Source organism: Homo sapiens, chromosome 16, assembly GCF_000001405.40.
Source record: "Homo sapiens chromosome 16, GRCh38.p14 Primary Assembly".
Classification (NCBI taxonomy): domain Eukaryota; kingdom Metazoa; phylum Chordata; class Mammalia; order Primates; family Hominidae; genus Homo; species Homo sapiens.
The window spans coordinates 71,674,319-71,686,615 of record NC_000016.10 but is presented as its reverse complement, the minus strand read 5'-3'; the positions used below and the strand labels follow the sequence as shown (position 1 = coordinate 71,686,615).

The 12,297-nt window shown below is 40.3% G+C and overlaps 1 protein-coding gene and 1 long non-coding RNA gene across 3 annotated transcripts in view; one reads left to right on the top strand and one right to left on the bottom strand.

Annotated features, from left to right (window-relative positions):
• Window positions 1-12,297, top strand: part of PHLPP2 (PH domain and leucine rich repeat protein phosphatase 2) — a 79,778-nt gene that overhangs the window by 38,086 nt on the left and 29,395 nt on the right. For both annotated transcript variants that reach the window (NM_015020.3, NM_001289003.1), the window contains exons 5-9: window positions 2,015-2,140; window positions 4,711-4,865; window positions 7,081-7,227; window positions 7,631-7,861; window positions 9,967-10,169. In NM_015020.3, coding sequence (NP_055835.2) covers window positions 2,015-2,140; window positions 4,711-4,865; window positions 7,081-7,227; window positions 7,631-7,861; window positions 9,967-10,169 — 862 coding nt within the window. The remainder of the gene's footprint in view (window positions 1-2,014; window positions 2,141-4,710; window positions 4,866-7,080; window positions 7,228-7,630; window positions 7,862-9,966; window positions 10,170-12,297) is intronic.
• The window catches only part of LOC124903712 (uncharacterized), a 28,774-nt gene that overhangs the window by 12,958 nt on the left and 3,519 nt on the right, over window positions 1-12,297 (bottom strand). The window lies entirely within an intron of this gene.

Genomic DNA, 12,297 nt, shown 5'->3' with positions numbered 1-12,297 from the left:
TGCCAGGGCATGGTGGGGAGGGGGCTGACTGTAAAGGAGCACAGAGGGAAGTTTGGGGGCCATGGGGTTGCACACTGTATTTATTCATTTATAAAAACTCATGAAATTGGTTACTTAGTGAATTAAAAAAAAATCAAGGCCAGGCATGGCACAGTGGCTCACACCTGTAATCCTAGCACTTTGGGAGGCTGAGGCAGGAGAATTGTTTGAGTCTAGGAGTTCAAGACCAGCCTGGGCAACATAAATGGGACTCTGTCTCTACAAAAAAATAAAAAATTAGCCAGGAACAATGGCAGACACTTGTAGTTCTAGCTACTCAGGAAGCTAAGGCGGGAGGATCACTTGAACCCGTAAGGTTGAGGCTGCATTGAGCCATGATCACGCCATTGTACTCCAGCCTGGGTGAAGAGTGGCCTGTTTCAAAAAAATACAACAAAAACCAGTGAATTTTATTTTAGGTTATACCTCAGTAAGACTGATCCCCAAAAGGACTTTTTTGTGTGTGTGTTTGAGACAGAGTCTCGCTCTGTCACCCAGGCTGGAGTGCAGTGGCACGATCTCAGCTCACTGCAGCCTCCACCTCCCGGATTCAAGCAGTTCTCCTGCCTCAGCCTCCCAAGTAGCTGGGCCAAAAGGACTTTAATACAAAAAGCATTAGTAAGGATAAAGAGACTCATTACAAAATGATAAAAGGAACATTTTACCATGAATATTTAATAATTCCAAAGTTATATATATGTAACAATATAATTTCAACATCTGTAATACAGAAATTAAAATACTCAGGGAAGTTGACAAATTAACTTACAGTGAGAGATTTACAGATCTGTCTCAGTATTTGACATTATATGATTCTCTGTACTTTTCAATGTCAAGCATTCCAAAATAAAATATTTAAAAGATTATGCTAAAACAGTCAGTATCTATTCTTCATTTCAATAATATTCTTTATTTTGACACAGACTCATTCAGTTGCAATGATTTGTTACTAATGAAAAATGGTTATGTTGTATCACAATTTAATATTGTGAAAATTATTTAATTTTAATGAATCTTTTTAATATGATTCTCTTTTCTGGAAGTATTTTGTTTCTGCCGCTTGGTTCAATCTTCAGTTGGCACAGAAACCTAATGTAAGTTTCCATCTGATTTGCCAAGCTGTGACGTAACAAAGTGAGATACCAGACAAAAAGATGTAAGTGGTTCCATGACTATAAAAAGACTGCTTCCTCATCAAAGCTATATAGGTTGAGTTGTTGGAATTTGGGGGAGAATTTCTTTTTTTGTTTGAGACGGAGTCTCGCACTGTCGCCTGGACTGGTATGCAGTGACGCGATCTTAGCTTGCTGCAACCTCCGCCCCCTGGGTTCAAGCGATTCTCCTGCCTCAGCCTCCCAAGTAGCTGGGATTACAGGAGCCCGTGACCACACCCGGCTAATTTTTTGTATTTTTAGTAGAGACAGGGTTTCACTATGTTGATCAGGCTCGTCTCGAACTCCTGACCTCGTGATCCGCCCGCCTCGGCCTCCCAAAGTGCTGGGATTACAGGCGTGAGCCACCACGCCTGGCCGAGAATTTCTTTAAGGAGCTATTTTTGTGCTGTGAATTCCTGCCACCGCTCCAATAGGAATGGGGGAGGTTTTTGCCTCTTTTCTCAAGCCTAGTAAAGAGATTTGAATTGGACTGAAGAGGACTTGTTAAGAGTTCCGTGCAGTAAGGGGGACATAGTGGACTGGTATCCTGCTTCCTGACCTGCAAGTCCTGAGGACAAGAGGTGCTACCCAGCTGCTGGTGATAGAGCAAAAGCACAGCTAATGTGTTGGGATCATTGTGTACTCCTTGGGTGTGTTCATGTGTGACCCATTGGCAGATGGAGGGGGACAAGGAGGGAGAGAGAAAAAATAAAAAATAACTATTTTTAAAAATTCAGTTGTTCGTCTTGTGATTGCCTTTTGCTTTTTGACTAGGATTTTTTTTTTTAGTGGTTCTGGTTTTCTCCCCTCCTCTTCTTCAGATAGAAGAAGTGAAGCGACGGCAATACTCCCTTGCTTTCAGCTCAGCAGGAGCCCAAGCTCAGACCTATCATGTCAGCTTCGAGACTTTGGCCGAGTACCAGCGATGGCAACGGCAAGCATCCAAGGTGAAAAGTAATGGGATGTTCTGATGTGGAGATAAGAATAGAGAACCCTAGGCCGGGCGTGGTGGCTCACGTCTGTAATCCCAGCACTTTGGGAGGCCGAGGTGGACGGATCACCTGAGGTTGGGAGTTCGAGACCAGTCTGACCAACATGGTGAAACCCTGTCTCTACTAAAATACAAAAAATTAGCTGGGTGTGGTGGCATGCACCTGTAGTCCCAGCTACTCGGAAGGCTGAGGCAGGCGAATCGCTTGAATCCGGGAGGTAGAGGTTGCAGTGAGCCGACATCGCGCCACTGCACTCCAGCCTGATGACAGAGCAAGACTCTATCTCAAAAAAAAAAAAAAAAAAAGAGTACCTCAAGAGAAATGTATTTTGAAACTGATGGCCGGGTGCAGTGGCTCATGCATGTAATCCTAGCACTTTGGGAGGCTGGGGCAGGTGGATCACCTGAGGTCGGGAGTTTCAGACCAGCCTGACCAACATGGAGAAACCCCGTCTCTACTAAAAATACAAAATTAGCGGGGTGTAGTGGCACATGCCTGTAATCCCAGCTACTTGGGATGCTGAGCTGCAGGAGAATCGCTTGAACCCAGGAGGCGGAGATTGCAGTGAGCCAAGATCATTCCATTGCACTCCAGCCCGGGCAACAAGAGCAAAAGTCCGTCTGAAAAAAAAACAAAAGACAAGAAAAGAAACTGAACTTATTCCCAAGATAGCAAATTATAATTTTTAATTTCCTTTCTAGGCCTTTTCTGAGTATATAATGAGTAAAATCATGGAATTCCACCAGGTCTTTAACTTATTTATATGTGCATAGTACAAAATGCTGTCAAAAATGTTTGCAGGTGCATTTTCCTCTGTACTGTCTGTGGGAGTTAGGGCCTTAGAAGGAATTAAGACACAAAGAGATTTGACCTTTGAAGGAATTGAGATACAATGAGATTTAAATGACCTTCCCTCAACCGTAATAGTCAGTGATAGATGGATTCATTCCATAACTTGGGTCCCAGTGCTTCTTGGTCTGCATATGTTCAGAACAGCCTTGGTGAATTACTTCAAATGTGCAGTTATTGATGGGACAGTGACCTCTAATGCTGCCACAAACCATTATTCCTATATGCCAAGGATAATTAGTCTTTCAACATAATTTCTGCACTTTAGCCTTTGAAAAGCAATAAAGTGTATTGTGATTTCCAAATTCTCTTTTTCTTCTAGCCATCTTTGCAGGATTTTGTATAAGAGATTGTTATAGTATAAGGACATGCCATCAAAACATGAATGACTTTTCTTTTCCTTTTTTTTTTTGGAGACAGAGTCTCACTGTCACCCAGGCTGGAGTGCAGTGGTATAGTCTTGGCTCACTACAACCTTTGTCTCCTGGGTTCAAGCAGTTCTCCTGCCTCAGCCTCTTGAGTAGCTGGGATTACAGGTGTGCGCCATCACGCCCAGCTAATCTGTGTATTTTTAGTAGAGACAGGGTTTCACCATGTTGGCCAGGCTGGTCTCGAACTCCTGACCTCAGGTGATCCGCCCGCCTTGGCCTCCCACAGTGCTGGATTATGGTGTGAGCCACCACGCCTAGCCATGAATGACTTTTCTAGTGATATATTGTTTCTTTTTTTAGATCAATTTTTATAACCCATATTATATTAGCATACTATTATAGAACTATCAAGCTTGTTTTGATTTTATTGACTATTTTACAGTTATATTGTGTTGGCTATAAAATCTGGCTATAAAACTAGTCCCAGTTTTAAGTACCTATTCCATTCTTCTGCCCTTTTAAAGAGAAGTTAATATTTTTTGAGTGTCTTTTGCATGTTTAGCAGTGTGCTGTGTGCTTGGTTATTTACTTTTATCCTCAAAACAGGTGAAGAAACTGCTGATAAGTAGCAGAGCTAGTGTGGCTACAGAAGGCCATGTCTTTTCATATCACACTGCCTCTTAAAGTTTTTTCCATTTATTTCGAATCATCTTAAGATAACTTCTTGCGACCGGGTGCTGTGACTCACGCCTGTAATCCCAGCACTTTGGGAGGTTGAGGTGGGTGGATTACCTGAGGTCAGGAGTTCGAAACCAGCCTGGCCAACATGGTGAAACCCCGTCTCTACTAAAAATACAAAAATTAGCCTGGCATGGTGGCACAGGAGAATTGCTTGAGCCCAGGAGACGGAGGATGCAGTAAGCTGAGATCGTGCCACTGCACTCCAGCCTGGCTGACAGAGCAAGACTCTGTCCCAAAAAAAAAAAAAAAAACCCAAAAACAAAACAAACAAAAAAGATTACTTCTTGCATGAAGTGTTAACTTTCCATCTTTAATGATATGTGTTTTTTTTTAACCTTGTACTTATAGAGACTTTATAATTTATACCCTTGTTTTTCAAGCAGCTTATGGTTTTAGGAAAAAGTAAAAATTAACTGGTATTTATAAATGAATAATTGGATCTTATTGCCTTTTTTTTCCTATCTTTTTAATTAGCGTCTTTTTGTGTAAATGCCATTCCATTCTTTGCTGGGTGATAGACATCCAGTACTAGCTCAGAAGGCTCTTCTCTTTGACATTATTCAGGTGGTGTCCCAGCGAATCAGTACCGTGGATCTCTCGTGTTACAGCCTCGAGGAGGTTCCTGAGCATCTCTTCTATAGTCAAGATATTACCTACCTCAACTTGCGACACAACTTCATGCAGTTAGAAAGACCCGGAGGCCTCGATACACTCTACAAGTATGTGGAGAATGGGTTTCCAGACTAACCTGTTAAAACCAACTCATAATCAGTATCTTATGGCTTCTACCTGCTACCATTGTATGTATATTCTAAAATTTCCCCTCCCTTTTGAAGAGGAAGTAAAAATGTTTATTCACAGAGTTCTCCTACCTGCCCTTTCCCCCCATAAAACAGAAGATTGATGTAAATGTTCTGTGAGCTTCTGTTGATCTGGGTAATCTTTTCATGTGAATCATTGACACCGATGTATGATCTGCTGCCAAGTTACATCAGGAGATTTAGTATACGGGAAATTTTTGAATTAGAAGTATAAAATTTCAGTAACTTAAAGGAGATAGGCCTAATTATAAGAATTTCACTCTGAGAGACAAGGCTCTATCTTCTCTTTGTACCTTCCACTGCCAACTCTTATGCGTTTAGTCAGCTGTGAAGCTTCTCTGTTCTAATACAGGAACCATTTTAGCCCTACAGTACTATGACCTACTTGTTATTCCATGTCCTTTATTAAAATATATACCCCATTCCCACACTCCACTCATCCCACCTCATTCCTCCACTTAAAAATGGACGCAGTGAATAAATATGTGTTGTAAGTAATTGTCTGGGCTTCTGGAGGAGAAGGGAGAAATTGGAAATTAAAGCATTCAAAGTGATTTAAATTAGATGGTGACTAAAAAGATAATATACATTAAAATGACATATTTTACGTACTTCCTTAATAGCTAATAATTCTAATGTCCAGAAAATGTTGTTTTTTTAATCTCATCTGATAATTGTTTTAGAAAGTGTTTCAAGTATAAGCCTCTGTTTAGTAATGAGGTAGTTATTTTAGTAATATTGGCATGTAAAAATGAAAACAAGCAATAATTTTAAGGAAGTTGGTTTCTAGCATTTCTTTGTGAGTTGCTATGAAAAAGAATTAGTCCAGTTTGAGGGCTGTATCATAAATTCTGAATTTAAAGCACCAAGCCAAAGGAATAATCAGTAATCAAGGTTAGGTCATCCGGAAATCAGAAGTTGAAAATTTGGAAGAGAAGCGTTACAGTGAGGTACCAGGGATTCAAATCTAAAAGTAGGTGATAGATCATCATCATGGAGAACATCTCAGCCTTACCATCTTGCACTTGTATAATAACGAAGTATCCTACTCCCCAGTGGAATTACCAGAGTCTCTCATAAAAAGTTCTTAGTAATGAAACCTTTAACATCTTAATTATAATGCAGTGGATATCAAGAAGAAACCCAGGAGATCCATTTTATAACAATGCTATCTCTGGGTAAGACAATATAGATACTTTTACTTCCATGAACAAAATAGAAGCACTAAAAATTATTTTGTGTTGTGTATCAGGTCACATAATGGTAAAATGCTGTCACATTTGTATTTTCAAGCTCTAACTGGTTTATTCATTTTATGTGACATTTTAGCCAACATAATTTCAGTATGAAAGTAGAAGTTGCTTATAAATGGGATTTGATCTACCTATTTGTTAGCTATTGCTCTGTCTATGAGTTGATTAATTCTTGCAAGGATTTTGTATATTACATGTAGAAATTTAATAATGGAAAAAGATTTCAAGCATATCAAGTATGAAGAAATACAAAAGAATTGTACCAGCAAGAGCTGTTCTTCAAGATTGTCTACCTTTTTTCTTTTTTTTTTTTGAGACAGAGTCTCACTCTGTGGCCCAGGCTGGAGTGCAGTGGCGCAATGTCGGCTCACTGCAAGCTCCGCCTCCCGGGTTGATGCCATTCTCCTCCCTCAGCCTCCCAAGTAGCTGGGACTACAGGTGTCTGCCACCACGCCCGGCTAATTTTTTCTGTTTTTTAGTAGAGATGGGGTTTCACCAAGTTAGCCAGAATGGTCTCGATCTCCTAACCTCGTGATCCACCTGCCTCGGCCTTCCAAAGTGCTGGGATTACAGGTATAAGCCACTGCATCCGGCCAAGATTGTCTTCCTTTTTAAGGAGAAAAGAGAGCTCCTGTAATGCTAGACGTGGTTTCCTTCATCACATGGACTGTGAATTAGTCATCTTGGTGTCCTCTGTCCCCACTCAGTGTTTGATATGCAGCGAGTGCTCAATAAGTATTTTTGGAATAAATTCTATTATAGACATTTAAAATAGATATCAAAGGCCGTTGATGTCCCTTGTAAAGATACAGTAATAGATGTATTGAAATGCAATACCCATTTTTGCCTTTGCTCTTTAGATTTTCTCAACTGAAGGGCCTGAACTTGTCCCATAATAAACTTGGGTTGTTTCCTATATTGTTATGCGAGATCTCTACCCTGACTGAGCTCAACCTTTCCTGTAATGGATTTCATGACCTACCAAGTCAAATTGGCAATCTGCTAAAGTAAGTAACTTTTACTAGATTCCTCTTTTCCCTTGCAGAATAAGGAACTTGCCTGGGGTTTGGAATGAAGGTAGTATCTTGAACTCTTGCAGTGAACTATATCATGTACTACTTAGGATTCTAGTCAGCAGCAGTTTTTGACCTCAGAGATATACCTGCCCATAGCAGTGACTGATCCCTCAGCTTCAACAGCAGCGGTCTTAACTCTTTTAATGTTGGAGGGACCATTTGTTTAAGTTGTGTGTAAATCATCTATTAAGTCTGCATAGATGGAGAGTTAGGACACTTTACTATTTTGGGATTGATAATAAATTAGTGACATAAATCAGAATCCCTAACTCTGATTCTGTGCATTCCAGTGAAACCTTTCATAAAGTAGACTTGTTTTGTTTTCTTCCTATAGTCTTCAAACCCTCTGTCTTGATGGCAACTTTCTGACTACTTTACCTGAAGAATTGGGAAATCTACAACAGCTTTCCTCCTTGGGAATTTCCTTCAACAACTTTAGTCAAATTCCTGAGGTTTATGAGAAACTCACTATGTTAGATAGAGTGGTTATGGCAGGAAATTGCCTGGAAGTCCTGAACTTAGGGGTGCTGAATAGGATGAACCATATCAAGCATGTGGATTTAAGGTAAGGTTATTCTTTACCACACCTTCCTTTAAATTGACTCTGGTGGACCTTTATGTCTTCTGTTTATGAAGATTTGTTTAAAACATTAGGGTTTTTAAAATTTTGTTGTTGTTTTGAGACAAGGTCTCACTTTGTCACCCAAGCTGGCATACAGTGGCACGATCTCGGCCCACTGCAGTCTTGACCTCCCGTTCTCAGGCGATTCTCCCACCTCAGCCTCCCGAGTAGTTGGGACTTCAGGTGCGCACCACGAGGCCTGGCTAATTTTTTTCTACTTTTAGTAGAGATGAGGTTTCACCATGTTGTGCAGGCAGGTCTCGAACTCCTGGACTCGAGCAGTCCACCCACCTCAGCCTCCCAAAGTGCTGGGATTACAGCCACCGCACCTGGCCCATAACTTTAGGTTTTTTGAATAGTGTAGAAATATATGTTTTCAAAGGTATAGTAAGACTTTATTTATCACTCAGTAGCAGAGAGATTAAGGATCAGGTAGTTGTACCATGTGATAGAGACTATCAAATTGCCTTTGACAAAGATTGTTCTCACTTACCCTCCCATCAGTGTATATTTTTTATTTTAAAAATTTTTTATAGAGATGGGGTCTTGCTGTGTTGCCCAGGCTGGTCTTGAACTCCCTGGCTCAAGTAATCCTCCTGCCTTGGCCTCCTAAAGTGTTGGGATTACAGGTGTGAGCCAGTGTGCCCGACCCCTCCACCATTTTATGAGAATTCCCATTTTCTCATATCTTTGTCAGTATTGGATTTTAGCATTTCTTTTTATTTATCATCAGTCTAGTAGGTTGAAAAAAGTATTTCATTGTTTTAATCAACGTTTATTTACATAGCAGTGAGGTTGAACATCTTTTTATATGTATATTAGTAGTTTGTAGATTTCCATAAATGACCATTTTTCTGTTGAGTCATTGGGTTTCTTCTTGATACCCATTGTATTACAATTAAAATGTTAAGGGTTTCATTACTAAGAACTTTTTATGAGAGTTTTATTTTCTAGTCATAATATTTTCCTAAAGGAAGCTGGTAAAAAGACACCTACTGGATGTTCTGTTATTTACAGTAAGCCATTGATGTAGCTTGTAAAGACAGTAAGAGAGTTTTTTTTTTTTTTTAAACCACACTGGAGACTTAAGAGAGAGATTTATAGAAATACAGGAAAGTGAGAATAGACCTGCATAAATTAAATCATACACCTGTGTAGAAAAAACCCAGAGGTCATTTTCTATAATTTGCCTTTGAACTCTTCCATATATATATATATATATATATATATATATATATATATATGTGCAGATTATTTCCTTGTCTGTTAATTAATTTTATGTTTGAACCTTAGCTCTAGAGATAGAGCAGGCATAGCAACAGGAAGAAGTATGGCTCCATCCTTATACTCTGGACATGGTACTGTTGTGACTGCTTTGCTACTCACTGACTCAAAAGGTTGTGTTCATCTTCCTGTTCCTTTGTCCTACTTAGTGCCCACCTGACATTATTAGGTATTTGGATATAAGTGTTTAACTGTTCGTAGATATGGCCTCTTTTTTCCTTCTCTTTATTAATTTGTATACGTATTTGCCAATTTGGATTGTCTAACTTAGCTGTACCTTGAGTTATTCATCAACTAATTATTTATATAGTACCTTGCAAAATGAGGCGAGTAGTGAAATTCTTAAGTTGTTTAGGAAACAGAGAAAGGGGGCCGGGCACGGTGGCTCATGCCTGTAATCCCAGCACTTTGGGAGGCCGAGGCAGGCAGATCATCTGAGGTTAGGAGTTCAAGCCTGGCCAACATGGTGAAACCCCAGCTCTACTAAAAATACAAAAAATTAGCCTGGCATGGTGGGGGTGATTCTAATCCCAGCAACTTGGGAGGCTGAAGCAGGAGAATCGCTTTAACCTGGGAGGCAGAGGTTGCAGTGAACCGAGATCACGCCATTGCACTCCAGCCTGCGCAACACAGTGAAACTCCATCTCAAAAAAAAAAAGTAAACAGAGAAAGGGATCATACCTGTCCTATTTTTTATTTTTATTCTGGTAAGCACATTTAATAGACTCTTATTTATGATTATTTTCTTGTTTCTGCGTATTAAGGATGAACCATTTGAAAACCATGGTTATTGAAAATCTGGAGGGAAATAAACACATCACCCACGTGGATCTGCGGGACAACCGACTGACTGACTTGGATCTTAGCTCCTTATGCAGCTTGGAACAGCTGCACTGTGGGCGGAATCAGCTGAGGGAGCTAACACTCAGTGGCTTTTCCCTTCGGACCCTCTATGCCAGTTCCAACAGTGAGTTTTCTCTGCAGCCTTTTGTTTTTTCTCTTTCAGCTGTTGTCAGTGCTTTCTGAGAACAGTGGCACCTGTGGTGTTCCTCAGCCACTCTGCAGGATGGGGTTTGTGGCTCATTGAGGCAAAGCTTTATCTCTTCACTTTGCTGTCAATACTTAAGTGGTTGCAGTGTGCATAAAAAGACATGGCAGGATACTTTGAGCTTTACTAATTGAGCATAATAAGAGGCATTCCACAGAATAGTGGTGGTGGGGAGGTGGGCAAGCATGTTCAAAACAGAGCATCAATAATAGTCTAAAACAGGTTGGCAAACTATACCCCAGGACTGCATCTGGCCTGCCACCTCTTTTTTTATGGCCCATACGGAATGGTTTTTACATTTTTCTAATGGTTGGGTAAAAAAAAAAGTCAAAAGGAGAATTTTGTGGCCAATCATGGGGGCTCATGCCTGTAATCCCAGCACTTTGGGAGGCTGAGGTGGGCTGATCACCTGAGCTCAGGAGTTCGAGATTAGCCTGGGCAACATGGTGAAACCCCATTTCTACAAAAAATACAAAAGTTAGCCAGCATGGTGGCAAACCTGTGGTCCCAGCTACTCAGGAGGCTGAGATGGGAGGATCACTTGAGCCTGGAAGGCAGAGGTTACAGTGAGCTGAGACCGTGCCATTGCATGTTCTCATGAGAGAACTGGGTGAGACTTGTGAGACCCCATCTCAAAAAAAGAAAGAAGAATTTTGTGACATGTGAAAATTACTATGAAATTCAAGTTTCTATGTTTCTGAATGAAGTTGTACTGGAATGCAGCCACAGTGGTTTGCTTGCATATTGTTTATACATTCTTGCTCTTGTGCTACAGTGGCAGAATTGAATAGTAGTAAGAGAGACTGTGATATGGTCCGCAAAGCCTAAAATGTTTACTATTTAGCCTTTTACAGAAAAAGTTTGCCAATTCGTGGTTTAAAAGCTTGTGTAGCCTCAGTGCTAGAATGAGAAGCCACTGATTTCAATAGTGATTTGCTCTAAGAATATTTTTCAATGAAAAGGTCCTCATATTTGTCGAGGCCATTCTTTTTATGGAAAGTTCTTTACCTTTGTTTACTTTTGATATGTGTTTAAGGAAGGAAAGGAAAATAGGTTAAATTTTACTGTCAGAAAAATGCAAATGTAAATAATAACATTTTATACTCATCACATTTAAAAAAAGGTAATTCTGAGTGTTTCCAGAGGCGAGGAGAAGCATCTTCCTGAGCACTCACACACTGCCAGTGAGAGGTGACTGGTAAAACCACCCCAGAGAGTAATGTGACAGTGTTAGAGATGTCGAGACACACACATACCATATTCTAGAAGTTTCCTGATTGGGATATATCCCAAAGACACCCACATGTGCACAAGGAGATGTATAACAGATTGTTTATCACTTTTTGTGAGCATGAAAAAGTAGGATTTTGAGACGGAGTCTAGCTCTGTTGCCCAGGCTGGAGTGCAGTTGCCTGGTCTCAGCTCACTGCAACCTCTGCTGCCCAGGTTCAAGCGATTCTCTTCTCTTAGCCTCCTGAGTAGCTGGGATTACAGGAGTGTGCCACCATGCCCATCTAATTTTTGTATTTTTAGTAGAGACATGGTTTCACCATATTGGCCTTGCTGTTCTTGAACTCCTAACCTCTAGTTAGCTGCCCACCTCAGCCTCCCAAAGGGTTGGGATTACAGGTGTGAGCCATTACACCCGGCCTAAAAGTAGGATTATTAATAGGAAAATGGGCAAATCGGTAGTGATATATTCATGCAATAGAATATTGCACAGCAGTGAAAATGAATGTACTAAAGCTTTGCATGGTAATATGGATAAATTGCACACTTTTTTTTGAGCAAGGAAAAGTGCATAATTAAATGTATATTGTGATAGTTATATCAAAATTTAAAACACTCACAGAAATATTGTTTTCTTCGTTATAAATATGCCATAACTATGAAAGAATACATGAGAGTGATGAAAACCATATTCAGGATGATGTTTACTCTTGGTATGTGTGGTATTTTAATTCTTTAAAAAAAAAAAAAAAAGTCTGGGCCTGGCACAGTGGCTCAAGCCCGTAATCCCAACACTTTGGAGGCCTAGGTGGGCAGA